We start from the raw sequence: 26,716 nt of genomic DNA, 5'->3' as shown, positions 1-26,716 counted from the left end.
AGTGATTTCTGTTTGGAAATAGGGTCGTCTTCTGCTGCTGACCCCCATCAAATCCCATCATGCCCACAGCCCTGTGCCCCCGAGTCTTGGCTCCGAAGGAAAGTGAGGAGCCCAGGAAAATGAGGAGCCCACCTGGAGAGAACCCTAGCCCCCAGGGGGAGCTTCCCAGCCCCGAGTCCTCTCGGCGTCTCTTCCGCCGTTTCCGCTACCAGGAGGCGGCGGGCCCCCGGGAGGCCCTGCAGCGCCTCTGGGACCTGTGCGGGGGCTGGCTGCGGCCTGAGAGGCACACCAAGGAGCAGATTCTGGAGCTGCTGGTGCTGGAGCAGTTCCTGGCCATCCTGCCCCGGGAGATCCAGAGCTGGGTGCGGGCGCAGGAGCCTGAGAGCGGAGAGCAGGCTGTGGCCGCGGTGGAGGCACTGGAACGGGAGCCCGGGAGACCCTGGCAGTGGGTGAGTAGAAGAGGTGGGGCTGGGACGGGTAGAGATCTGGTACTTAGACACTTTGGCTGGGCCATGCATGTGCTGGCTGGGGAATGAGGAGTTCCATCGAGAGCCATTTACTTTGGTTAGGTCCAGACTAGAGTTTCCTAAGAAAGCCAGTTTTACTCCCTGAAGGCTCTAATTTGGGCATGATAGTGTCGTGCCCCTTTACAGCCCAGTCCAAGGCCTAAGTTGAGCCTTTGATGGTCAGCTGTGGAGTGGATGGTCACCAGGCCCAGGGAGAGATGGGACCTCTTCCCCTAGCCCTGAAAAGCTGTCTCTGGGATTGCAGCTCAAGCACTGTGAAGACCCTGTGGTGATTGATGATGGGGACAGCCCTCTGGACCAGGAGCAGGAGCAGCTGCCGGTAGAGCCCCACAGCGACCTTGCAAAGAACCAGGATGCCCAGCCCATAACCCTGGCACAGTGCCTGGGGCTCCCAAGCAGACCACCAAGCCAGCTCAGCGGGGACCCAGGTATGCAGCCCAGGGGAGTGTAGCAGGGGTGATCTGGGGAAGTGCACACCCCATACTGTGCACTGGGTGTGGTTTTTGTTAAGCTGATGGCTTTTACATCAGCAGTGTTCTCGTGTCCCCGAGGTGCTGTGAGCTGTTGTCAGGGTCTGAGTCCCTTCCTAGAGCAATTAAATGAGAACCTCATCAGGATGTTTGTCCTCTTCATGGTTCTAGAGCCTCTCAGAGCTAACGCTTCTGTAGGTGGGTGTCACTGAGGTGGTGCCCTCTCATCTCTTCGAGGGTGCATCTCTGCAGGATTTGTCAGTTTGATGACAGCTGGGGACTGCCAGTGTACAGCTGGGGCCTGCTGCATGACTGGAGCATGGCCATTTCTTGTCTCTTGGAACCTCTGTTTCCTTGGCTAAACAACTCCTGTTTACAGGAGTATTGTGATGCTGCGAAGAGATGTAGAAATACTTAGGAGGACACAGGGTGGTGTCTAGTGTGTGGGGCCAGAACATCAGCTACACATAGTTTGAGTATGTATATGAAGTACATGGTAGCTACAGGAAAGTAGTTTTTTCATCAGATAAACTTAGATTTGAATCTTCTGGTTATGACCTGAGGCATGTTTCTAAACTCTGAAAGCCTCAGTTTCTTCCTCTGTCCAGCAGAGATAGTAATTACCTTTTTTGGGGTTTTTGGACAATTAAATGAGATACAACCTACAAAAGGTTGAACACAAGGCCTGAGGTGCCCAAAACTTTAAGTACATATCATGGGAAACCAGCGCCCTTGGGTTGAAGGAAGTCTGGCCCGTGGGTTCCTCTGGGTGGACTTGCCACGGTGCTTTATATGTACAGTGGAAAGAGAGTGTCTGGGGGGCCAGGGGGGCTTTCTTATGACTCTGGGTGGACTTGCCATAGTGCTCTATAGGTACAATGGAAAGAGAGTGTCTGGGGGGCCAGGGGAGACTTTCTTATGACTTGCAGAAGTTGTGTTTGGCATTATGATAAGCTTTTCAGTAATAAAACCAAAATGCCTATTAAATTTCTGTGTGTGGAAAAACTATATTGACTTCTGTACAAATCACATAAACTCTTCAGCCTTTTCTTGCTTATAAATCAAGTTTGGTGTGTTGTTGGCTGCCATAACAAAGTACCACAGACTGGATGCCTTATGTAACAGAAATGTATTCTCTCACAGTTCAGGAGGCTGGAAGTCTGAAGTCAATGTATCAGCAGCCTTGGGTTCTTCTGAAGCCTCTCTCCTTGGCTTGTAGACATGCCTAATGTTAACACTAAGAGAAGTTTGCAGATAGACATTTAGAAGGAGCTAGGGGTTGGGCGCGGTGGCTCACGCCTGTAATCCCAGCACTTTGGGAGGCCAAGGCGGGCGGATCACCTGAGGTCAGGAGTTCGAGACCAGCCTGGCCAAGATGGTGAAACCCCATCGCTACTAAAAATACAAAATTAGTTGTGTGTGGTGGTGGGTGCCTATAATTCCAGCTTTTCGGGAGGCTGAGGCAGGAGAATCACTTGAACCTGGGAGGCGGAGATTGCAGTGAGCTGAGATCACGCCATTGCATTCCAGCCTGGGTAAAAACAGTAAAACTCCATCTCAAAACAAAACAAAAAAAAAGGAGCTAGGAGGGGAAGTCTCTTATGCCACTGGCTCTCTTTGGGACCCGTAAAAACCCATGAATATCCGGCCCTGAAAGCTGACAACAAGCTTTGTGCCAGGACTCTTGATGACGGGCGGTTTTCTTTCAGGGAAAGGAAGAGGAAGATGTTTACACTAAGAGAAGTTTGCAGAGCAGGTGTAACAGACACCTTCTCTCTCTGGGTCTCTTTATGTGGTCTTTCCTTTGTGTGTGTCTGTGTCTTAATCTCCTCTTCTTATAAGTACACCAGTCCTATTGGATTAGGGCCCACCCATATGACCTGATTTTATCTTAATGACCTCTTTAAAGACCCTATCTCCAAATACTCAGTCGCATTCTGAGGTACCTAAGGGTTAGGGCTTCAACATAGGAATTTGAGAGGGCCATAACTTAGCCTGTAACAACAGGTATAAGGGAAGCAGCCAGTCGCCCACATAATGCACGTGCAAGTAGCTTGGGTTATGCAGGAAGTGGGGGGCTGTGAGAGGCCTTGTAGTGGGGTCTGGGAAGGCATGCAGGTGGAGAGGAAGAAGTTTCAGGAACTACAGTAGCCTGTGCAGTTGCTTCTTGATAAAGTTCTGAGATAAGCCAGCAACCACAGATGGGCTTTAGGAAAACAGGGCCAGCTCTCCCATTTCCATGAGCAATAATCAATAGGCAAAGTAGGTATGATGAGAGTTAGCAATCAGGAAAACCTTAACTATTGGGACAGTTCATCATTGGAATGCACTACCTATCAGAGCTGTATAGTTCCTCATCTTGAAGATCTTCCCCAAAAGCTAGATTTTGTGTAGGGTCTGCAACTCTCCGAAGTGATTCTTGAAAGGGTCCATGTATTCATTTATCGGGGCCAAAAGTAGGGTGGGACTACATATTCATATATATATATATATATGTGTGTATATATATATATGTATGTATATATATGTGTGTGTATATATATGTGTGTGTATATATGTGTGTGTGTGTGTATATATGTGTGTGTGTGTGTATATATATATATGCGTGTGTATATATATATATACATATGTCTCAGCCTCCCAAAGTGTTGGGATTACAGGCGTGAGCCACTGTGCCCGGCCAACATGATTTTAAACTTGGAGAAGGGAGGGCTAGGGATGGGAAGGAGTTAGCCAGGTTACCCAGTTAGGGGGCATCTCCATTCATATATATATGAATATCTGGGATAGCTACATATCCCAGAAGGTGGCAGGTGTGAGGAAGCAGAACTAAAACACCACCTCCTAGCCAGGCATGGTGGCTCATGCCTATAGTTCCAGCTACTCAGGGGGCTGAAGCAGGAGGATTGCTTGAGGCCAGGAGTTTGAGACCAGCCTGGGCAACATAGCGAGAACCCACCTCTAAAAAATAAAACACCCCCTCTGGGAGACATCGGTCAAAGAGTACAAAGTTTCCGTTAGGTAAGATGAATAAATTCTGGAGATCTATGGTACAGCATGGTGAGGTTGATGAAAAATAATGCATCTTATACTTGAAAATTGCTAAGAAAGTAAATAAGAAATGTTCTCGTCACAAAAATATATGAGGTATAGATTTGTTAATTAGCTTAATTTAATCATTTCACAATGTATAGTTATCACATTGTACAGTTTTCGTATACAAAATACATACAATTTTTGTCAATTATAGCTTAATAAAACTGGGAGGTAAAAGTAAGTTAAATAAAGATGAAGATAGAAACTTAAAATGGAACATACACACAGAAAAATACCACCTCCTCAAATCTACGCCCATCCAGCCTGAGCTTCCCCTTCAGACACAGTGAAGAGGCTGCCTTCCACTGAGACCCCTAGAATGGCACTGCCATCTGTGTGGGCTCCTGGCCCCGTCCTTTGTTCCACATAGCCACTCCTGCAGCTGCTGTTTCCTGCAGGCTTTGTATTCCAGGTCTGAAAGGCCAGGGACACTGGCCTCTGGGGTTTGCTTTGATAATGACTTAACATGTGACCTGGGGTTAACCAGTAGACTATAGCACAGCTCTCCAAGTCTTAATCTGAGAAAGGAGTACCTTTTGAAACAGAGCTCATTTTTACATGGCTGCACTGTTGGCAGGGGATGTGGCTCATGGCAGAAGCCTGAACAAAGGGTAGTTTCCAATTCCAGGAGAGAAGAGTGGCAGAGTCCCTGGTAGCCCAAAATAAGGCTGGTGAGATGGTCCCAAAGCCACACTTTACATTTTGTATGAGGGTCTTTAGGACACTGTGTCAAATGCTCTTTCAGGAGTACCTACAGTGGTAACAGTTTTTCTTTTTTGTTTAATTTCTGTCTTCAAATTGACAAAAAAAAATTGTATGTATTTACAGTGTACAGTGTAATGTTTTGATATCTATACACATTGTGAAATGATTAAACCAAGCTACTTAGCTGGGCATGGTGGCACACCTGTAGTCCCAGCTACTCAGGAGGCTGAGGTGGGAGGATCCCTTGAGCTCAGGAGTTCTGTTCCAGCCTAGGCAACCTAGTGAGACCAGTCTCTTAAAAAAAAAAAAAGTCAAGCTAATTAATATAATGCATTACCTCATATACCTATCCTTTTTCTGTGTGTGGTGAAAATACTTCAGATCTACCCTCTTAGCAATTTTCAAGTACACAGTACGTTGTTACTGCCTATAGTCACCATGTTGTGCAATAGGACTCCTGAGTTTACTCCTCTCATGTCACTGAAATTTTGTACACTTTGACCAATGTCTCCCCAGTCCCCTCATTCCCTAGCCTCTGGTAACCAGCATTCTGATCTCTGCTTCTATGAGTTCAACTTTTTTAGAGTCCACATTTAAGTGAGAACATGCAGTATTTCTTTTTGTGTCTGGCTTATTGCTCGTAGCATGTCTTTCAGGTTCATTCATGTCGTCAAAAATGACAGGATTTTCCTTCTTTTTTTATGGAGTTCCACAGTAATTCTGATTGCCAACAGCCCTTACTTTTTTTTTTTTTTTTTTTCATTTGAGACAGAGCCATGTTCTGTCACCCAGGCTGGAGTGCAGTGGTGCAGCTGTGGCTCACTGCAGCCTCCATCTCTCAGGCTCAAGCAATCCTTCTGTTTCAGCTTCCCAGTTTTTTTATTTTTAATAGAGATGCGGTCTCCCTATGTTGCCCAGACTGGTCTTGAACTCCTGAGCTTAAGCAATCCTCCCACTTTGGCTTCCCAAAGAGCTAGGATTACAGGCATGAGCCACCACATCCAGACCCTAAGAGTCCTTATAGATTCCTCAACTCTACGGCTTTTTCTTTTTCTTCTTCTTTTTTTTTTTCTTTTTCTTTTTAAGAAACAAATACTCTGTGTTGTCCCTGCTGGTCTGGAACTCCTGGGCTCAAGTGATTCTCCCACCTCAGTCCCCAAAATAAGAATAGCTGAGATTACAGGCATGTACCACCACACACGGCTGAACTCCATAGAGTTTTAACCTTTATTTTCCCATAGTTTGGATAACAATGCTGAGGTCCGGGGACCTACCCGAGGTGAAAGAGTTCATTTAATTGACCGTGCTATCATGAACCCAGGCACACTCTGTTACAGCCCCCCTTGTTATATCTGGAAACAAAGTCGCAGCAATCTTTGTGGTTTACAGAGTACTTTTCATGTGCGTCATTTTGTAATCCTCATTTTACAGTTAAGAACAGAGACTGGGGTTTTATGAAAAGCACCATGAAACAGTTCCCTGTTGGTGCCTCTCTTGTGATTTTCTTTGCTACCAAAATGGAAATGAAGAGCCGCAGGAAGCTCAGAAGGTATCAGCACCAGGCCTGGCCCTGGCCCACTTTAGGACACCATTTTCTGATCTCTTTCAGTTCTGCAAGATGCTTTCCTTCTTCAGGAAGAGAATGTGCGGGACACACAGCAGGTGACCACCCTCCAGCTACCCCCGGTGAGTGGTTTCTACAGGAGTCCTTGAAAATCCCCTGTTTGCCTCTGTAGGCTACAGGGCAGCTTTCTTAGGACCCCAGCCAGCTTTCTGACTGCCACACAGGATGTTCAGTCCCAGCCCAGAAAAGCTAAAATAGGCAGAGCGTGAGCTTAAGAGACGCCCCATTTCTCCTCCTTCCCTGTGGTCCCAGCCGCCCACTGGGTCTACTGTCATCAGGCCACCTTCAGGAAGCTTTGTGCAGACGATAGCAGGAAACAAAGGCCCATGAGTCCCCATTGATGGGCCTCTCAGCATGTCTAAGTTCCCCTCTTGTGAAAAAGGAGATCTCTCTGCTCTTTTATTTTACAGAGAATTTTTCAATTTAATAATCATCGCAGCAATGGTTATATTTTAGAAATGTTAGGAAGTGGAGGGAAGAAAGCACAGATAATTTCAGTCCTGTCACAGATCTACGTGGTGAGTCATTCCAGAATTTCCTCGAATGTTCTCGTTCGTGTTTTTGTGTAAGACTTGCTTACTCGGGTGCTCTGAGGAGTCAGAGTCAGGGCTGGGGGCTGGTCCAGCAGGTGATCTTACTCGCCTCTCTCTAGCCCAGTTGCTGTCTTTGGCCATGTTTTCTGGCCATATCTCCTTCACTTTCCCTCCTAACACTTTCCACTGGCTGGCACAAGATTTAGTTATGACAGCATCATCCCCTCCCATGGGAACAGGATGTGTGGCTCCTGCTTTTGTTTAGTTGCTCCTTACCCAACAGAAAACTGTGAAAAACAGTAGACACTCTTATTACCATGTCTCAGCAGAATGTCGGAAGCTGAGCAGTTTGCTTTCTGCACAGTTCATTTGACATGACTTTATTTTATTTTTATTTTTAGAGACAGGGTCTTGCCTTGTCACCCAGGCTTCAATGCAGTGGCACAGTCGTAGTTCACTGCAGCCTCAAACTCCTGAGCTCAAGCCATCCTCCCACCTCGGTCTCCTGAGCAGCTGGGACTACAGGTGCATGCCACTACACCCAGCTAAGTTTTGTATTTCCTTGTAGAGACAGGGTCTCGCCATGTTGCCCAGGCTGGTCTCAAACTCCTGACCTCAAGTGATCCTCCTGTCTCAGCCTCCCAAAGTGCTGGGATTACAGGCATGAGCCACTGTGCCCAGCCAACATGACTTTAAACTTGGAGAAGGGAGGGCTAGGGATGGGAAGGAGTTAGCCAGGTTACCCAGTTAGGGGGCATCTCCATAACTTGCTTTTGCCCCACCAGAAATGTGGCACACGCCTGTTTACCCTGATGCTCAACACATACATGTCAGCATCTGCTGTGTACTGTGACCATTTCCAAACACAAAGGAGGTAAAACCAGTATTTCTTATTAAAATTTGGACATTTAACCAGTATAACACATAAGGGGATGCTGTTAATCCAGTACCTAATGAGGTTTGGTCTTCATCTTTCAATTCCTGCAGTCCCTAGTAAATGCCATAGCGAGCACAGTACAGAGATTTTGATAAGTCAGTACTGTTGTATTACTCTGATAGTTTCTTCCCAGTGATAGTTTCTTCCCAGTGCACTAAAAGTCACCATCATGAAGATGTTGTTTATAAGTGTTTTTTAATTTCTGTTTTTAATTGTGGTAATATACACATAGCGTAAAATTTTCCATCTTAACTGTCTTTAAGTGTGCGGTTCAGTGGTGTTAAGTATATTTACATTGTTGTACACCCAATCTGTAGAACTTTTTCATCTTCCCAAACTGAAATTCTCTATACGTTAAATAATAACTCCTCATTTACCCTTTCCCTTAGCCCCTGGCAACCTCCATGCTACTTTTAGTCCCTATTAATTTGACTATAAATACCTCATATAATTGGAATTATGCACTATTTGCCTTTTTGTGACTGGCTTATTTCATTCAGCATAATGTCCTCAAGGTTCATCTATGTTGCAGTATGTGTCGGAATTCCCTTCCGTGTTTTTTTTTCCCCCGAGATGGAGTCTTGCTCTGTCGCCCAGGCTGAAGTGTAGTGGCTCGATCTCGGCTCATCGCAACCTCCGCATCCCGGGTTCAAGCAATTCTCCTGCCTCAGCCTCCCGAGTAGCTGGGATTACAGGCACCCGCAACCACGCTTGGCTAATTTTTGTATTCTTAGTAGAGACGGGGTTTCACCATGTTAGTCAGGCTCTTGAACTCGAACTCTTGACCTCGTGATCCACCTGCCTCGGCCTCCCAAAGTGCTGGGATTACAGGCGTGAGCCACCATGCCTGGCCATGAATTCCCTTCCTTTTTAAGGTTGAATAATACTCCCATGTGTGTATATATCACCTTGTTTATCCATTCATCTGTCGATGGACATTTACATTGCTTCCACATTTTGGCTTTTGTGAATAATGCTGCTATGAACATGGTACACGTGAAGTTTTGTTTTTCTTTTTAAATGAATCTTCTCATTTTTACGTAATTGTAGATTCACATGCCATTGTAAGAAATAACACAGAGAGATCCTGTGAACTTTTTAAACCCTCAATAGTAAAATATAGAGTAAAAATCTATATTCTATAAATATAGTACAATGTCACACCCAGGGTATTGACAATGATACATGCAAGATAGAGAACAGGTGCTTCACCAGAAGGATACCTCCTGTTACCTAATGTCCACACTCATTTCTTTCCTACCCTCACCCTCTCTTCAGCCTCTGGCAACCACTGATCTGTTTTTCAGCTCTGTGATGTCATTTCATTTCAAGAATGTTATATAAATGGATTCATATAATATGTAACCTTTGGGGATTGGCTGTTTTCATTCAGCGTAATTCTATGGAGCTTCATTCAGGTTGTTGCGTGTTACTATTCCATTGCTTTTCGTTGCTGAGTAGTATTCCATCACATGGAAGTCCAACAGTTCGTTTAACCATTCACTGGTTGAGGACTATCCGGGTTGTTTTGGGGTCATTATTGTATAAAGCTGCTGTAAATATTTGTGTGCAGGTTTTTATATACACATCAGTCTTCATTTCTCTGGGATAAATGCCCAGGTATGCAATCGTTGGTAAGTACAAAAGTTGGTAAGTTTTGTAAGAAAGTACTCTTATCTGATGTTAATATAGCTTTTCTTCTTTCTTTTGATTAATAATTGCATAATATATTTATTCCATCCTTTTACAGTCAACCTGCTTATATTATTATATCTGAAGTAAGTTACTTTTAGATAGTATATATGTGTTGTTTTATTTTGTTTGAGGCGGAGTCTCACTCTGTCACCCAGGCTGGAGTGCAGTGGCGCGATCTCAGCTCACTGGAGCCCCCATCTCCTGGGTTCAAGCAGTTCTCTTGCCTCAGCTTCCCGAGTAGCTGAGACTACAGGCGCGCACCACCAGGCCCGGCTCATTTTTGTATTTTTAGTAGAGACAGGGTTTCACCATGTTGGCCAGGCTGGTCTTGAACTTCTGACCTCACGTGATCCACCTGCTTCGTCCTCCAAAAGTGCTGGGATTACCGGTGTGAGCCACTGCACCCGGCCTAGATAGTATATATTTGGATAATGTTTTCTAATCTACTCTGCCAGTTACTGTGTTTTGATTGATGTATGTAGACCATTTGTATTTAATGTCATTACCGACATGTTAGGGCTTAAGTTTGTCTTTCTGTTTTTCTGGCTCTGTTTCTGTTTCTCTGTTTCCTTTTTCCTATTTTTCTGTGTGTTACTTGAACATGTAGAATTCCATTTCGATTTACCTAGTGTGGTGTTGAGTGTATGTATATTTTTGTATAGCTTTTTTAGTGGTTATTCTAAGTATTACATTATATATACATAACTTATCTACTGAGTATCATTTTATCAGTTTGAGTGAAGTGTAGAAGCTTATTTCCTTTGTTCGGGCACCGTGGCTTGTGCCTATAATCCCAGCACTTTGAGAGGCCAAGGTGGGAGGATTGCTTGAGCCCAGGAGTTTGAGACCAGCCTGGGCAACATAGCGAAACCTTGTCTCTACAAATAATAATTCTAAAAAAATTAGCTGGGAATGGTGGTGTGCTCCTATAGTGCCAGCTACTTGGGAAGCTGAGGCAGAAGGATTGCCTGAGCCCAGGGGGTTGAGGCTGCATAGTAAGCTGTGATTGCATCACTGCACTCCAGCCTGGGTGACAGAGTGAGACCCCATCAGAAAAGAAAAAGAAAGAAATATAATATACCTCCTTTTACATACCCTCATCCTTCTTCCCCATTATAATGCAGTTGTTTAAATATTTCCTCTACATACATTTAGAACCGCATCATAGAGTGTTGTAATTTGTGCTTCAACTGTCAAACATTATTCAGAAAACTCAAAAGGAAAAAGAAAACCTATTTATTACCCATATTGTGGCTTACTGTTTTCTTTCTTCTTATGTTCCAAGGTTCCTGCTTTTTGTTTAGAGTGTTTCTTTAGCCATTCTTTTAAGATAGATCTGCTGGTGATAGACTTACATATTTTTTCCTCATCTTAGTAGGTCTTCATTTCCCCATCATTCCTGAAGGATGTTTTCACCAGATGAAAGATTCACACTTGACAGTTTTCTTTCAGCACTTGAAAAATATTATGTTACTTCCTTCTGGCCTCCATGGCTTTTGATGAGAAATCTGCTGTCATTCAAAAACTTTTTCCCTGTAAGGAAGGTATTATTTTACTCTGGCTACCTTTAAGATTTTTTTCTTCCTTTGCCTTCAGTTTTCAGAAGTTAAATTATGCTGTGTCTTGTTATGGATTTCTTTAGATTAACCTGTTTAGAGTTTGCTCAGCTTCTTACATTTCTAGGTTTATGTCTCTTTCCAAGCTTGGGAATTCTTAAGCTAGATTTTTCTAGTACTTTTTTAGTCCCTCTCTCTTTCTCCTCTCCAGACTGCTAAGGATACAGGTTTTAGATCTCTTGTTAGAAACTGTGTAATTTATAAAGGTACCTGAGACTGTTCATTTTTTTTCAGCCTGTATTCTCTCTGTTGTTCAGATGGAATAACTTTATTTTTCCGTCTTCAAGTTGACTGAGTCTTTCTTCTGTCCCCTCCTCAGCTGAGCCTATTCACTGAGCTTCTTATTTCATATTGTGGTTTGTACTGTTCACATTTCCAGTTAGTTATTTTCTGTATCTTCAGTTTCTTTGCTGAGACTTTCTGTGTCTTTACAGACACTTTCTATTTTTTCGTTTGTTTGGAGTGTGCTTATAATTGTTCATTGAAGCATTTTATGACAGCTTCTTTGTCAGATAGTTCTAACGTATCTGTCACCTGAGGGTTGGCATCTGTTGGTGGTTATCTTTATTCATTCAGTTTCAGATCTTGGTATAGTGAGTGATTTTCTGCCTGCATATTTTTATATGATGAGACTCTGGACCTTAACTTCGGTGTGGCTGGTTTTGTTTGGTTGTGCAGTGTTGTTTTTGACATAGCTCCAGCAAGAGAAGGGCAGGTGGGCCACCACTTGTTATTACCTGGTGAGAGAACGTCAGGTTTCCTCCTGGATCTCCGCGGGCATCAAAGTGGGGATGCTCCTCATACACCCGAGTGGGAGTGGAGTTCCAGCTCCCTACATGGTCTCCACTGGTGGCGGGGGGGGGGCTTGTTCTTAGCTAGCAGGGATGGAGGTCCCAGCTCCGCATTTGGCCTTCTCTGAGACCACCCCAGCAGGGGTGTTAGGGCACCTCATTGCACCTGGTGAGGGTGGAAGTCTAGGCTCCCCAGTCATTCTCTGCTGGTGTTGGTAAGAAGGGGCCACAGTTTTCTTATGTGGTATTAAGTGGAGTAGAGCAGTTATTACCTGTTTGGCTGGGCTGCCCCTGTCCAGGTCCTGTGGCTTTTGTTGGAGCTTTTTTTGGTCTGTGCCCATGGGTATTTCTTGGTAGCTGGCTCCTTCGGCTTCAAGTCAGGGGAATATGTGGTAGAAAGAAAAACCAGTGAACTTAGCACATACTGTTCCAAGGTCCCTGGCCATTCTGCCACCCTCTCTCCACCTTTCAGAGTCTCCTGTGCTCATTTTATATGCAATGTCCAGGGTTTTCATTCTACTTAGTTGGGAAGCATTAGAAAAATCTCCTCTGAAGATTTAATCTTAAATAGACATGTTTATCTATCTTGCCCATCCCTTCTCGTGAAAAATTAACAAAATGTAGGAAGTGAAAAGATACCACTCATCCCCAGTCATGTGAGAAGATTCTGCATGGTCTAGTGAACTTCCTTCTGGACTTTTCTCTGCCAATTTATTTGTGTGCCTCACAAATAAATCGATCACAAATAAAAGGATCCCGCTGTAGATCAATGTCCTGTTTTTATGCTCCTCCCCAGCATGTAAGCATTGGTCCATATGGTTCTAAAAGCTCCCTGGGGATCCTGCTAAGTGGCCGTGTCAGATTCTGGAGGTGACTGGAGCACTGTCTGTCCACCCACCTGGCCCTTGGACTTGGGTTTGCTTCTGTGATGCCTTGACTGTCTAGTCAGTTTTCTGTCACTTGTAACAGAATACCTGAAACTGTAATTTATAAAAAAAATAATTGACTTCTCATATTTATGGAGGCTGAGAAGATTCGGGTTGAGGGGCTCCATCTGGTGAGAGCGTTCGTGCTGGTGGGGGCTCTGTGGTGTCCCGAGGTGGGTGCAGGGCGTCACATGGCGAGGGGCTGAGTGTCCTGACGCGCTTGCTCCGGTCTCTCTTCCTCTGCTTACAAAGCCACCAGTTCCACTCCCATGACAACCTATTCATCACCTCGTAAAGGCCACACCTTTCAATACTGCCACATGGGGGATCAAGTTTCCAGCACCTGAAATTTGAGGGCCACATTCAAAGTATAGCAAGTAGATCCTCAAACACCTAACCAAGGCTCAAAGGAAAAAGCATCCAAATCTGTTGTTAATATATACTCTCAGTTTTTCCCTCGGGACCCCCACTGCGCGCGCTCACACACACACACACACACACGCGCACGCGCGCGCACACACACACACCCCTCCCAGGAAGTCGTGCACACACACACACACACACACACACACACACACACACCCCTCTCCCAGGAAGTCGTGTCAGAGTGATGAATTCTTTTGTATTTTTTGTCACTGGGGCAATTACCATTTTTTCCCCATTTAAGAAACCAACATCAAGTTGACTCCCACAGGTCCTTGTAATGAAATCCAGTGGCTTCCCGAGGCCTGTTTTGGATTCTGTGGAACAGCCTGGGAAGACAGGCTTTTCCACACTGACCTCTTCCGAGCAGCAGATCCACTTAGGGGCTCATTCAGATACAGCCTCTGAGGCTCCACCCCGACCTACTGAGTCAGAGTTTTTACTAAGATGCCTGTGATTCATATGTACAGGCAAGAGTCCTTGTTCCAAAACCCTGACTCAAATTTAGAATTTTTGAGGTATTCTCTTTCTTTTTATTTTAAACTTTTTCTTTGGAATTAATTTTAAAGTTAGGGAAGATGGCAAGAACAGTACAGAGACTTCCAAATACCCTTTCCTTCACTTTCCCCGTTCTCCCTCTCTCTTCCTTACCCACTCCCACCCCCTCATTCTATTTTTCCCCAAATCTTCAGTTAGATGCAGACGTTTGTGCCCCCTTATTCATGCCAAAGGAGCGTATTTCCTAAACACAAGGACAATCTCTTAACCACAATACAGTTATCACATTGAGGAAATTTCACATTAAAACAATAATGATCCAGCATCGTTGCTTCTTATTTAGTTGTCCCATCTCTTAACACTTCCTCCTTGGGTTCTCAATGTTTGTCATGCTGTGGCTAGTTTTGAAGAGTGGAATATCGTGATAGGTGATACAGCTTCCTTCCCTCAGGTGGGGTTAGACTCACAGTGGCACTCAGGCCACGCATTTTGCAGGAGAACCACACTGGGCTGTGCACTCCCCATGCAGCACATCTGGAGGCATTGAAGGTGGGGTGTCCTGCATGGGTCACGTCAGCTGTGATCACTGGGATACATATGTACAATTGACGCATAATTATTCCATAGGTGTTTTTTTTTTATATTAACATCTTTTACTTTTCACCAACATGATTCCTTTAAGTGCCCTCTGCCCTCTATATTTTTGCTTTTTTTAAAAAAAAAAAAAAAAAAAAAAGACTAGTCAAGGCTGGGCTTGGTGGCTCACACCCATAATCCTACCACTTTGGGAGGCCAAGGTGGTTGAATCACTTGAGCTCAGGAGCTCAAGACCGGCCTGGCAACATGGTGAAACTCCATCTCTACTAAAAATACCAAAAAAAAAGTAGCTGGTCATGGTAGTGAATGCCTAGAGTCCCAGCTACTTAGGGGGCTGAGGCCCAAAAATCATTTGAACCTGGGAAGCAGCGGTTGCCGTGAGCCAAGATTGCACCACTGAACTTCAGCCTGGGCGACAGAGCAAAAACCGATCTCAAAAAAAAGAGAAAGAAAGAAAATCACTCCTTCCCAGCCGTGTCCTGGGTGCCTGGCCCCAACACCCGGGGAAACCATCTGACAGTAACTGATAGTTTTCCAGAGAGGTAGGCAGATGCAAAGCATGTTTTAAAAATTATTCTGTTCCTTTTTTGCTTGTCACATAGATACTAGTAATATAAAAGTCCTTTGAGTTACTTTTCTTTTTTCCACAAAAATTTTATTTTGTGGTCCTTTCCAATTATATAAAGGACTGCTTTATTTTCCTGGTTTCCTAGTATTATATGGATATACCATCATTTTAAATTGAAATTTTAAAATGAAAATTTTAAAATGAAGCATTGATCTAATAAATACTGAAAACCTTGACACACATCAACAAGACAGTGGATTAAGTAATGAAAATTAGGCCAGGCACCATGGCTCATACTGGTAATCCCAGCCCTATGGGAGGCTGAGGTGGGAGAACTGCTTGAGCCCAAGCATTTGAGACCAGCTTGAGTAACATAGCAAGACCTCATCTTTACAAAAATAAAAAATTAGCCAGGCGTGGTGGCTCACTCCTGTAGTCCCAGCTACTTGGGAGGCTGAGCAGGAGGATTGCTTGAGCCCCAAAGGTTGAGGCTGCAGTGAGCTGTGGTTGTGCCACTGCACTCCAGCCGGGGTGACAGAGTGAGACCCTGTCTAAAACAATATAAAGATAAAAATAGAAATTAAAATCAGGTTTTTGACACATTCCCATGGTCCATGATTCAAAGTTTATGAAAAAAATCTCCCTGTTACACCTAACCCCAGAGTCCCAGGAACCTCTTGAGAAGCAGCTAACCTTCGGAACTCCTAGACGCCCTGCACTTGGTGGCCATCCGGATTCCATCATGCACAGGTGTTTTCCTGCAACAACACACTTTGAAGAGAATTCCTTCTCAGTACAGAGAGGCCGTCATTCTTTCTGTGCGTGTAGGATCATCCCTTGTGAGGTTTCTGTAGCTTACTTAATCCGCTGTCTTCTTGATGTGTGTCAAGGTTTTCAGTATTTATTAGATCAATGCTTCAGTGAAGCAGCTTTTGTAGACTACGTTGCACATGTGCAACATAAACTTGAGAAATCCCTGCACGGAAGGGTGGGCATGTTGGTAACGTGCAACAACATAAACTTTAGGAATCTCTGCATTGAGGGGCGAGCACGCTGGTGACCTCTGGACATTGCCCAGCAGCGCACCATAGGAGTGGTGGATGTGCAGCCTCCCCAGCACTGAGGAGGAAGACCTGTTTCTCCACATCCTTGGCCACCCAGCCAGGTAGCTGCCATGTGGATTTTGCCAAACAAGATAGGGATGAGGTGGATCCAAGAGCAGAAATAACAAAGCAGTGTGTCCACTGGCGCCTGGACCTGGGGTAGTCGGTCTCCTTTCTGTCTCTTCTATCTGCATGTGTTGCTTTGGGCTCTTCCCTCAGCCCCAGCTTCCACACCACCCCCCTCCCCTAGTGCTATGGTCTGAATGTTTTTGTGTTCCCCTCCCCACAGCTTTGACATGTTGAAATGCTAGCCCCCAAGCTGCTGGCATTAAGAGGTGGGGCACTGGGGAGATGATCAGGTTATAAGGGCAAATCCATCATAAATGGATTAGTGCCCTTCTAAAAGAGGCCTCAGAGAGCAGCCTTGCCCCTTCCACCATGTGAGAACACAATGAAATGATGACCATCTATGGAGCAAGGAACTGGGCCCTCACCAGAACCCAACTATGCTGGTATCAGCTGGGGACTTCCTAGCCTCCAGAACTGTAAGACATACATTTATGTTGTTTATGAGTCCCCAGTCTGCGGTATTTTGTTAGAGCAGCCCAAATGGATTAAGACAGAAAATTGGCACCGAACATTTTGGGTGCTACTCTAACAAATACAACGTGGAAGAAGCTTGGGAACCGGGTAATGGGTAGAGGCTAGAAGAGTTTTGAAGTGCAGGCTAGAAAAAGCCTGTGTTGCCATGAACAGACAATTTTTTCTTTTTCTTTTTCTTTTTTTTTTTTTTTTGAGATGGAGTCCTGCTCTGTCACCCAGGCAGGAGTGCAGTGGTGCGATCTCTGCTCACTGCAACCTCAGCCTCCTGAGTAGCGGAGATTACAGATGTGCACCACCACACCTGGCTAATTTTTGTATTTTTAGTAGAGACAGGGTTTTGCTATTTTGGCTAGCTAGGCTGGTCTGGAACTCCTGACCTCAGGTGATCTGCCAGCCTCAGCCTCCCAGAGTGCTGGGATTACAAGTGTGAGCCACCGTGCCCAGCCCATGAACAGACTATTACGGGTGATTTCTAGTGAGGCTCCAAAAGAAAAGAGGAGATTTGAAATCCTCAACCAGAATGTTGGTAAAAATGTGAACAGTAAAGCTATTCTTATGAGGTCCCAGATGGAAATGAGAAACGTGTGGTGGGCAATGGAGGAAAGGCCATCCTTCTTATAGTGGCAAATCACTTGGCTGAACTGTGCTTATGTATTAGTGTTTTGTGGAAGGTAGAACTTACGGGCCACTGCAATTGGATATTTGGCTGCAGAAATATCTAAGCAAGGTTTTGAAGGTGCAGCTTGTGAAATGTGAAAAGAGAGAAGTGATTTAAAGATGGGATTGTTACTTAAAAGGGAAGCAGAACTTAAAGATCGGGAATATTTGTCAGCCTATGTTGGTAAGAGTGAGCCAGCCTGTTTAGGAGAGAAGATAAAGGTTTTGCCATTGAAACTGAGGCTAGGAGCTAGTCCAAGAAAATGGAAAAATGACCCCAAAGGCAATTCAGAAATCATCAGGGCTCTTCTGCCCATCACAGGCCCAGAGCGCAAGACCCGCAGCAAGCAGGGGACCACAGCAGAGAGCCCCGCTTCAGTCACCCCTGAAGCCCTAGATGGTGGGGCCATCAGCGAAGTTCCAGCCCAAGAGAGCCTTGGGCTTCTGAAAGAGACAGAGCTGCCACAGAGGTGGGGCCACTGCAGAGAACCACCTCAAGGGCAGGCCCTCACCAGGGGCTGCCATGGGGCGGGACCACCCAGGGCCTTGGGGACTCAACTCCTGCCCAGTGAAGCTGCCACCTGTGGGTTTGGAAGGCGGGGTCACCTCCCAACACAGTGGGCCTGGGGAGCACAGCATCAAGACAAAAAGGATTATTCTGCAGATTATTCTCAAGCCGTAAACCATAATGTGCTGTGACCCATAGGTTCAGGACTTGCTGGGGACCTGTTACTCCTTTTCTTTTTTTCTGTTTCCCTTTTTTGGAACTGGAATGTTTATCCTGTGCCCGTCTCACCACTATATATGTGTGTGTGTGTGTGTGTGTGTGTGTGTGTGTCTCTGTGTGTGTGTTTTGTTTTTTTTTTTTTAAGACTGAGTCTCACCCTGTTGCCCAGGGTGGAGTGCAGTGGCATGATCTCAGCTCACTGCAGACTCCGCCTGCCGGGTTCAAATGATTCTCCTGCCTCAGCCTCCCAAGTAGCTGGGATTATAGGTGCTCACCACCACGCCTGGCTGCTTTTTGTATTTTTGGTAGAGATGAGGTTTAACCGTATTGGCCAGGCTGGTCTCAAACTCCTGACCTCAGGTAATCTGCCTGCCTCGGCCTCCCAAGGTGCTGGGATTACAGGTGTGAGCCACTGCGCCGGCCTCACCACTATTTGGAAGGCACATAACTTGTTTCATTTCACAGGTTCACAGCTGGAGAGAATTTTGTGTCAGGTAGAATTGTGCCTTGAGTTTCAACCGTAACTGATTTAGATGATATTTAAATGAGATGTTGGACTCCGGACTTTTGAGTTGATGCTGGAATGAATTAAGACTTTGAGGGTTATTGGGATAGAATGAATTTGTTTGGCATGTGAAAAGGATATGAATTTGGGGGAACCAGGGGCAGAATGCTATGGTTTCAGTGTTTATATCTCCCCAAAATTTGTGTTGAAATTGTAATCCCCAAGATGATGGTATTAGGAAGTGGAGACTTTTGGGGAGATGATCTGGTAACAAGGGCAAAGTCCTCATGAGTGGGATTAGTCCCTCCTAAAAGAGGCCCCAGAGAACTCCCTTGCCCTCTCCATCATGTAAGGACACAGAAGACACCTGTCTTTTGACCAAGAAGTGGGCCCTCACCAGGCACCCAGCCTGCTGGCACCTTGATCTTGGACGTCCAGCCTCCAGAACTGTGAGGAACAGATTTCTGTTGTATAGAAACTGCCCGTCCTACAGCGTTGTGTTGTCACAGCCTCAGTGGACTAAGACTGAGACACCTAGCTCGTCCCGGACTGAGGCATCCCTGTTCTCCTGTGCTTTCAGAGTCGGGTTTCTCCATTCAAGGACATGATTTTATGCTTCTCTGAAGAGGATTGGTCCCTTCTAGATCCTGCCCAGACTGGCTTCTATGGAGAGTTCATCATTGGGGAGGATTACGGGGTCTCAATGCCTCCAAGTAAGACTTAACTTCCCCCCACACCTCAAGACCAGGGAACTGGGCAGGGGAGTTCTCACTTGGAGTAAGAGTCAACTTCGTCCCATAGGATCAGGGAAGCGGGGCCTGCATCAGATCTCTCTGTTCACCCCCAACCTGGACAGGAGGTCATTTGCACACAGCGGCCCTACAGGCAGTGTGTCCGATTGACCATCACCTGCTGTCTCGCCACATCAGGCTTATCAGAACCAAATAGAACATGTGCTGTATGTCCATTTCTCTTCCATCGTTCTTACCGTTTTGTCCCTTTATGTCTGCTTTACACCCGAAAGCCTCAGAGAGACCCCCAAGCCCATAGCTCTCCCTGCGTGTGCTGCCCCCACTGCCCCTGCACTGCCAGCTCTGGCCTTTTCACTTCTCGCCCCTGATGGTGCCATGCCCGCTGGGCATCCCTCCGCCTTCTCTCTTCTGGACCAGCCCTGGTTGCTGCAGGATCAGATTACTAATAAACATGTACCCTGCCTTTTTCTTTGAACAGACGACCTAGCTGCCCAGCCAGATCTCTCCCAGGGAGAGGAGAATGAGCCACGCGTTCCAGAGTTGCAGGATCTCCAGGGCAAAGAAGTGCCCCAGGTCTCCTACTTGGGTGAGTAATGATTCCAGAACTGAGTGGACAGAGTAGGGGGAAGGGTTGCTGGCAGCCGGAGGTGAGCCCACTCTCTGGCTTCTCTCTGCGGCCCCTAATTGCCTTCTTCATTTCCCCAGACTCTATGTGGGTCTTGCATGTCTTGCCTTGTCCCTGACTTTTCATAGAAAGAATGGAGGATCTTAATTTTGCCAGGCATTGGAATTGTACTCCCTTGGCCAAGGACTGGGAAATAATAGGAATGTCTTTCTCCTCTGCCTGTAAGTAACATCTGGTTTGTGCTGACAATGCAGCAGCCCCTCCAGGAGTGAAGTCAGATACTCATGACAAGCCTAGTTGCAGAGGGAGTGTCTCCTAACTGGGCACCGAGCGCAGCCCTTTGAGGTGCCTCACCTGTCTAGTCTTCCCATCTGCCTGGTACAGGGGTGCTGTGAGGACACTGGGGTGTGGGGAGGTGCTGGGGCTCAGCAGCAGCAGTTTCCAGCCCTCCTTCAGGCTGTGTCGCCAGCACTTGCACCCATGATCTCCATGCCATGGTGCTTCGAAGCATCTGCTCCTTCAGGAGGAAATAGCTTTGTACAGAATCATCAGCAGCTCCACACCTTCTTCCCCTTTGGGACCTAGAGCTGGCATGAAGCAGACAAGGTTTTGACACACCATCCCCACCTGGAACAAGCGTTCAGAGACTTGGTGTGGTGCAGTAGCTCCTGTACCATCTCTACCCTGTAGGCTCTGCACAAGCTGTTTGTGCAGGATGTGCGGAGTGTGCAGGAGCCTGTGGTGATGACTATAGAAAACCCACCACAGAAAGTGGGAATAAATATGGGGCTGGGGGAAGTGCTTGTCTCTGGCCATAGAGTGGGTGGAGTAGAACCCGGATCTACGTCGATTCTGTCTAGCGTCAGAGCTCATGTTTGTGGAGTTGGCCCATTTTGCCTTCAGGTTCATTCACTCAGCAGACACTTATTGAGTGGCCACCCCCTGCCAGTCCCCAGGACGGAGCCCAGGGCCGCCCCCAGATCGTAGCCTGGCATCTATTCGGATAGCACCCTCCCAGGTAGTGCTGTAGGTGCAAAACAAATCAATTTTTCCATTTCCTCCTCTGGAAAGACTCTCCAAGTCTCCAGCCATTCCAGGTAGAAGAAAGAAGGAAACGTGAGGAGCTGCAGGTGCCAGAGTTCCAGGCCTGCCCACAGACGGTGGTGCCTCAAAACACCTACCCAGGTAAAGAAGGGTCAGGGAGGTATGGGTTTGTCCCTGTGTGTCTGTGGTGTGTCGCATGAATGTATGTATGCATGTGTGGCATAGGGGATGGTTGTGTTGAATGCATGTGTGCGTGCATACACATGTGGTATATGTGGTGTGCTGCATGTGTGAGTGTGTGCATTCATGGGTGCACCTGTGTGTTGGGGGCATGTGGGTGTGTGATGTAAATGTGCGGTGGTGATGGCATGGGACAGTTAGGAACTGAACCCCTCAGGATCCCCGCCGACCTCTGCTGTGGTGTTCTTAGCTGCTTGCCCTGATTCCGTTGTGCTGGGGTCATTCTCCAGCTCACTCCCAATCCCAGGCTCACCCTCCTTGCCTTTCCCAGGGGCCGGGGAGGGTGTGTCAAAGCAGGGTGCTGCTGTAGTGCTGTTGGTGATGCAGTGAGTGTTTTTCTTCTCTCAGCATGGATGGCCAGCATCCTGGCACAGAATCTTGGAACTGGGATTAAAGAGCAGGTTTCTGGCATACTGAAGCTGCACAGGACTCTTGGAAAGTGTATGTTCCATTCCTGCTTTCAGAGAAATAGCCACAGTGTAGACTCTGAGTCGTCTTGGTAAAAGTCACCACTTCCAGAAGCAGAGGCTACAATACTGCCATCTTTCTCTTCTCAATACAAAACCCAAGCCTCTGATTCTTACCTGAACCCACGTGTCATTGTAGTTTTCTGCAGCTATGGAGACCAACTCACACATATTATCTCTTCTACCTGTGATGCTTTTGAAGGCAAGATTTATGCCATTTTGACCCAGCTCCATGCATCTTGTACTTGGCCCCCTTTCATGCATGGACAAAGGGGCTTTTCTAGTGTGGGAGATCTGAAAGGATGAGATCCTGCTCCACAAGCATGGATGCCCACCCCTGGTTTTCTAAGAAGCCCACCTCTGCGTGCCAAGAGTGATGCATTCATTTGGGGTCCACTTGGAGTTCAAGCGCAGGCCTGATGTTTGTGGTGCACTTTGAATCTTCTCTAGCTTCTTTCTGCCCATAGCATGTCTCTCAGCCCCATCAATATACTTTTAGAAGATGGATGGATGTTCATTTATACACAGGAGTTTTCAACTCCATTCTTCCCTTGCTGGACTCTGACACAGACTGCTCTGAAACAGCCAGAAGCCAAGGGTTGCTACTGAGAAAGGGGAGAGACGATATATTTCAAAGAGTGGGCACTGTACTTATTTTGGTAGCTCCTGCCAGCTTGCCTTCCTAAAAGGCTTTTCCCGCCAGCTGATGCCGGATAGCTGGTGATAAGGTCTGCTTCTCTATATCCATGCCCACGCAGGACACTCCCAGATGTTCAGTTTGTGCCAATCAAATAATGCTACTACATCCGCCACTGAGGTGGAATATCTTTTCTTGTTTATTGTGTTCTATGAATTGCCTAGTTAGTATTCATTTATCCTTATTTATTTATTTTTGCACTCATACTTGTTTTCTTTATGTCCTAAACATTGCACCAGGATTCAGTGATTTACATGATGACATGATTCTGTGCATTGTATCTTCATGGCACCTTCTGAGATAGGTGGCATGATGTCTCTGTATTGCAGCTGGGGCACCCGAGAGCTGAAGTCACTTGCCCAGAGTCCAGTGCTCACAAGCTGTAGGTGGTGGAGTGAAGATTTGAACTCAGGCTGGGCGCAGTGGTTCATGCCTGTAATCTCAGCACTTTGGGAGGCCGAGGCGGGCAGATCGCCTGAGGTTAGGAGTTCAAGACCAGCCTGGCCAACATGGCGAAACCTGTCTCTACTAAAAATACAAAAATTAGCCAGGCACAGTGGCAGACACCTGTAGTCTCAGCTACTGGGGAGGCTCAGGCAGGAGAATCGCTTGAACCTGGGAGGTCAAGGCTGCAGAAATCATGACACTGCACTCCAGTCTGGACAACAGAGCGAGAGTCTGTCTCCAAAAAAAAAAAGAAAAAGAAAAAAAAAACGGCCAGGTGCAGTGGCTCACGCCTGTAATCCCAGCACATTGAGAGGCTGAGGCAGGCAGATCGCTGAGGTCAGGAGTTCAAGACCAGCCTGGCCAATATGGCGAAACCCCATCTCCACTAAAAAATATAAAAATTAACCAGGCGTGGTGGTGGGCACCTATAATCCCAGCTGCTTGGGAGGCTGAGGCAGAGAGAATTGCTTGAACTCAGGAGGTAGAGGTTGCAGTGAGCCAAGATCACGCCACTGCGCTCCAGCCTGGGACACGGAGCAAGACTCCATCTTAAAAAAAAAAAAAAAGATTTGAACTCAGGCTGTCAGGCTTCAGACCCATGGCTTTTACTCTACATTACCAAACCACGGTTTGCTTTTTCTGTGGATTCATAGAAACTGCCATCTTTCATAGGTTCTTCTAAATACCAAATCCAAGTCTCTGATTCTTACCTGAACCCACGTGTCGTTGTAGTTTTGGGTCTGAATCCCTTGCCTCTGCTGTATTCATACATAGTTTCTTCCATTTCCCTCAACTTTGTTTATGTGTCTTGCAGCATATAAATGTTTTGTTTTGTTTTGTTTTGTTTTTTAAAGATGGGGTCTCTTTATGTTGCCTAGACTGGTCTTGAAGTCTTGGGCTCAAGCAGCCTTTCTGCTTTGGCTTCCCAAATAGCTGGGGAGACTACAGGCGTGTGCCATCATGCCTGGCTTAAATGTTTTCTTACAGTTTTTAACTGTAGGTACACTTATTCGTCATCTTTTTGGTTTTATGCCTTGCTTGAGAAAGCTTCCCCATTCTAACTTTACAAGAATATTTTACAGTTTTTAATAATGCCTTTATCATTTTGGTTTTTCACATCCAGCTTCCTAGTCTCCCCTGCTGTTCCCCTTAATCCCCTCAGCTCGCAGGAAGTCATTCATTCCTGGCCAGAGCATCCTTCCTGAGGCGATAGTCATGGAGTTACCTGCACGCTGCATGCCTTTGCCACTCCGCCTGCAACAAGCACTTGCAGCAGCCTGGCTGCCTGCTAGCTATGTGGCCACGAGCCCTGGTCCCATCTCCACTGGCTCAATTCCCCTGAAACCTTGGGCAATTTCACTTTTCTGCCTTACATTTTTTATTTGGAAAACAGAAATAATAGTTAAAGCTGCCTTGTACAGTTATTGCTAAGGATTAAATGGTTTAATGCATATACTGGCAGTTAGACCAATAGCTCTTTTCTTTTTTTTCAGACGGAGTCTAGCTCTGTCACCCAGGTTAGAGAACAGTGGCGCGATCTTGGCTTACTGCAACCTCTGCCTCCCGTGTTCCAGCAATTTTCCTGCCTCGGCCTCCCACCATATGTGGGAGCCCACCCACCCATATGTCGTCATGTTCACTTAATTACATCTTGAAAGAGCCTATCTTCAAATACAGTCACATTCTGAGGTCCTTAGGGTTAGGACTTCAACATGAAATTTTGGGACAACACAATTCATCCCCTGTAAGACCTCACCCTCAGGACCTTCAAAATTCATGTCTTTCCCACATGCACAATCCATTCACCTCATCCCAACAGCCCCCAAATTCTCAACCTGTTTCAGCATCAACTGTAAGTCCAAAATCTCATCTAAATATCAACATCTCAAATCAGGTATGGGTTAGACTTGAAGTATGATTCATCCTGAGGCAAAACCCTCTCCAGCTATGAACTGTGAAACCAGATGTTTTTTGCTTCCAAAATACAACTGTGAGAAAAGCATAGCATAGACCATTCTCATTCCAAAATAGAGAAATCCAAGAGAAGAAAGGGTAATGGGTCCCAAGCAAGTCTTAAATCTAGCAGGTCAGGGCTAGGTGTGGTGTGGCTCGTGCCTATAATCCCAGCACTTTGGGAGGCCGAGGCAGGCGGATCACCTGAGGTCAGTAGTTCGAGACTGCACTGGCAAAAATGGGGAAACCCTCTCTCTACTAAAAATACAAAAATTAGCCAGACGTGGTGGCACACACCTGTAATCCCAGCTACTCAGGAGGCTGAGGCAGGAGAATTGCTTGAACCCAGGAGGCAGAGGTTGCAGTGAGCCAAGATCATGCCATTGCACTCCAGCCTGGGCAGCAAGAGCGAAACCCCATCTCAAAAAAAAAAAAAAAAAATCTAGCAGGTCATTTCCATGGGATTTTAAGGCTCAGCAATAACCTCTGGCTCAGTTCTCTGTTCTCCAGGCCCAGCAGGCTACTGGCCCTGCTCTTTGGAACTCAGAAGGAAATGACTTCACCTCCTGAGCCTGTACTCTCTGGTCCCATGATGACAGTGGCAGTCCTGTAACCTCTGAGCCACCTTTGGAGTCATTCTTCCCTTTTCTTGAAGGATAGTACATATTCATAGCCAGATAGATCTATCGGCCAGTTTGTAGAATCCCAGAAGTCCTAGCCTTCTTTTATTTCATCCCATCTCTTTTCCTTTCAGTTCCAGCTGGCAGTGTTTCTGCTGGTATATAATACTCAGAAACCCTGCCCTCCATGCAGTCCACAGGGTTGCAGGCCGTCAGACGAGGGTGTCCTCCATAGACCTTCCTGGATAACCTCATCTCTGTTCCTGGCTTCTGTTGAGATGGTTGATTGGATCCGTGAATCATACCCAGAATCTCTTTAACAAATGATGAGCCAGCCACACTCTTGGTGTCTCTCCAGTGCACGCTTTCTTATTTTTTGCCGTATGGATAGACAGAATTTTCCAAATCTTGAAGTCATGGTTCCTTTTTGCTACAACAATTCCTTCTTCAGTTTATCTCTCTCATCTCACGTTTCACTATAAGCGGCAAAAAACTAGTCTTTGCCTTTGACACTTTGCTTCGATACCTCCTCAGCTCAGTATCCGAGTTCCTTACTTACAATTTCTGTTTCCACAGAACAGTTGAATATGGTTTGGCCAAATTCTTTGCCACTTTATAATTGGAGGATCTCCTTTTCTCCAATTTCCTATAACGTCCGTATTTCTACCAGCCACTTCCTCAAGGCTTTTTAAACATGCACTTCAGAACTCTCCTGGCCTCTCCCCATGACCTAGTTCTAAAATCACTTCGACAGTTTTTGGTCTTTGTTTTAGCTGCACCCTACTTCCTGGTGCCAAAGTCTATGTTAGTCTACTGTGGCTACCATAACAAGGTACCACAGGCTGGGTGACTTAAACAACAGAAACTTACTTTCTTACAATTCCAGAAGCAACAAGTCCAGAATCAAGGCTTCAGCAGAGCTGGTGTCTTCCAAGGCCTTTCTCGTCTTGGAGACGGCTCCCATCTTGCTGTGTCCTCACAGGGTCCTTCCCTCTGTTGAAGTCTGCCTCCAGTCTCCTCCTCTTAGAAGACCAGTGATTTTGGATTGGCCCCACCATCTGACTTCATTTTGACTTAATTACTTCTTGAAAGACCCTATCTCCAAGTAATCACATTCTGAGGCTCTATGGGTTAGGGCTTCATCATGTAAATTTTCAGGGGGACACAATTTCGCCCATAACATGCACTGTCTGCTCTCATAATTCCATCTCCTCGCCCAGTTAACAAGTAAGAGATCTTAGCGGTCCACCTTGTCACTTTGTTTTCTTCT

General features: G+C 46.1%; 1 protein-coding gene across 2 annotated transcripts in view, besides 2 other annotated features; it reads left to right on the top strand.

The window, feature by feature from the left end:
* Positions 1 to 26,716, top strand: part of ZNF496 (zinc finger protein 496) — a 34,453-nt gene that overhangs the window by 2,230 nt on the left and 5,507 nt on the right. The window contains exons 4-10 of one of the 2 annotated variants that reach the window (NM_001329733.2): positions 23 to 449; positions 772 to 955; positions 6,408 to 6,484; positions 19,182 to 19,314; positions 19,832 to 19,939; positions 21,050 to 21,163; positions 21,611 to 22,936. In NM_001329733.2, coding sequence (NP_001316662.1) covers positions 60 to 449; positions 772 to 955; positions 6,408 to 6,484; positions 19,182 to 19,314; positions 19,832 to 19,939; positions 21,050 to 21,163; positions 21,611 to 21,765 — 1,161 coding nt within the window. In that variant the 5' untranslated portion in view covers positions 23 to 59 and the 3' untranslated portion in view covers positions 21,766 to 22,936. Of the gene's footprint in view, positions 1 to 22; positions 450 to 771; positions 956 to 6,407; positions 6,485 to 19,181; positions 19,315 to 19,831; positions 19,940 to 21,049; positions 21,164 to 21,610; positions 22,937 to 26,716 lie in introns of those variants that run through there. The other variant, NM_032752.3, reaches the window with a different exon arrangement.
* Positions 278 to 780: an enhancer, noted in NCBI's record as "H3K4me1 hESC enhancer chr1:247492160-247492662 (GRCh37/hg19 assembly coordinates)". NCBI's record gives its function as "activates a minimal SCP1, AML or CMV promoter by ChIP-STARR-seq in primed H9 embryonic stem cells {active_cell/tissue: H9 hESC(primed)}" and the evidence as "EXISTENCE:reporter gene assay evidence [ECO:0000049][PMID:30033119]".
* Positions 6,501 to 7,005: an enhancer, noted in NCBI's record as "NANOG hESC enhancer chr1:247485935-247486439 (GRCh37/hg19 assembly coordinates)". NCBI's record gives its function as "activates a minimal SCP1, AML or CMV promoter by ChIP-STARR-seq in primed H9 embryonic stem cells {active_cell/tissue: H9 hESC(primed)}" and the evidence as "EXISTENCE:reporter gene assay evidence [ECO:0000049][PMID:30033119]".

Source organism: Homo sapiens, chromosome 1 (genome assembly GCF_000001405.40).
Source record: "Homo sapiens chromosome 1, GRCh38.p14 Primary Assembly".
Taxonomy (NCBI): Eukaryota; Metazoa; Chordata; class Mammalia; order Primates; family Hominidae; genus Homo; species Homo sapiens.
This window is presented reverse-complemented; position numbering and strand designations above follow the sequence as displayed.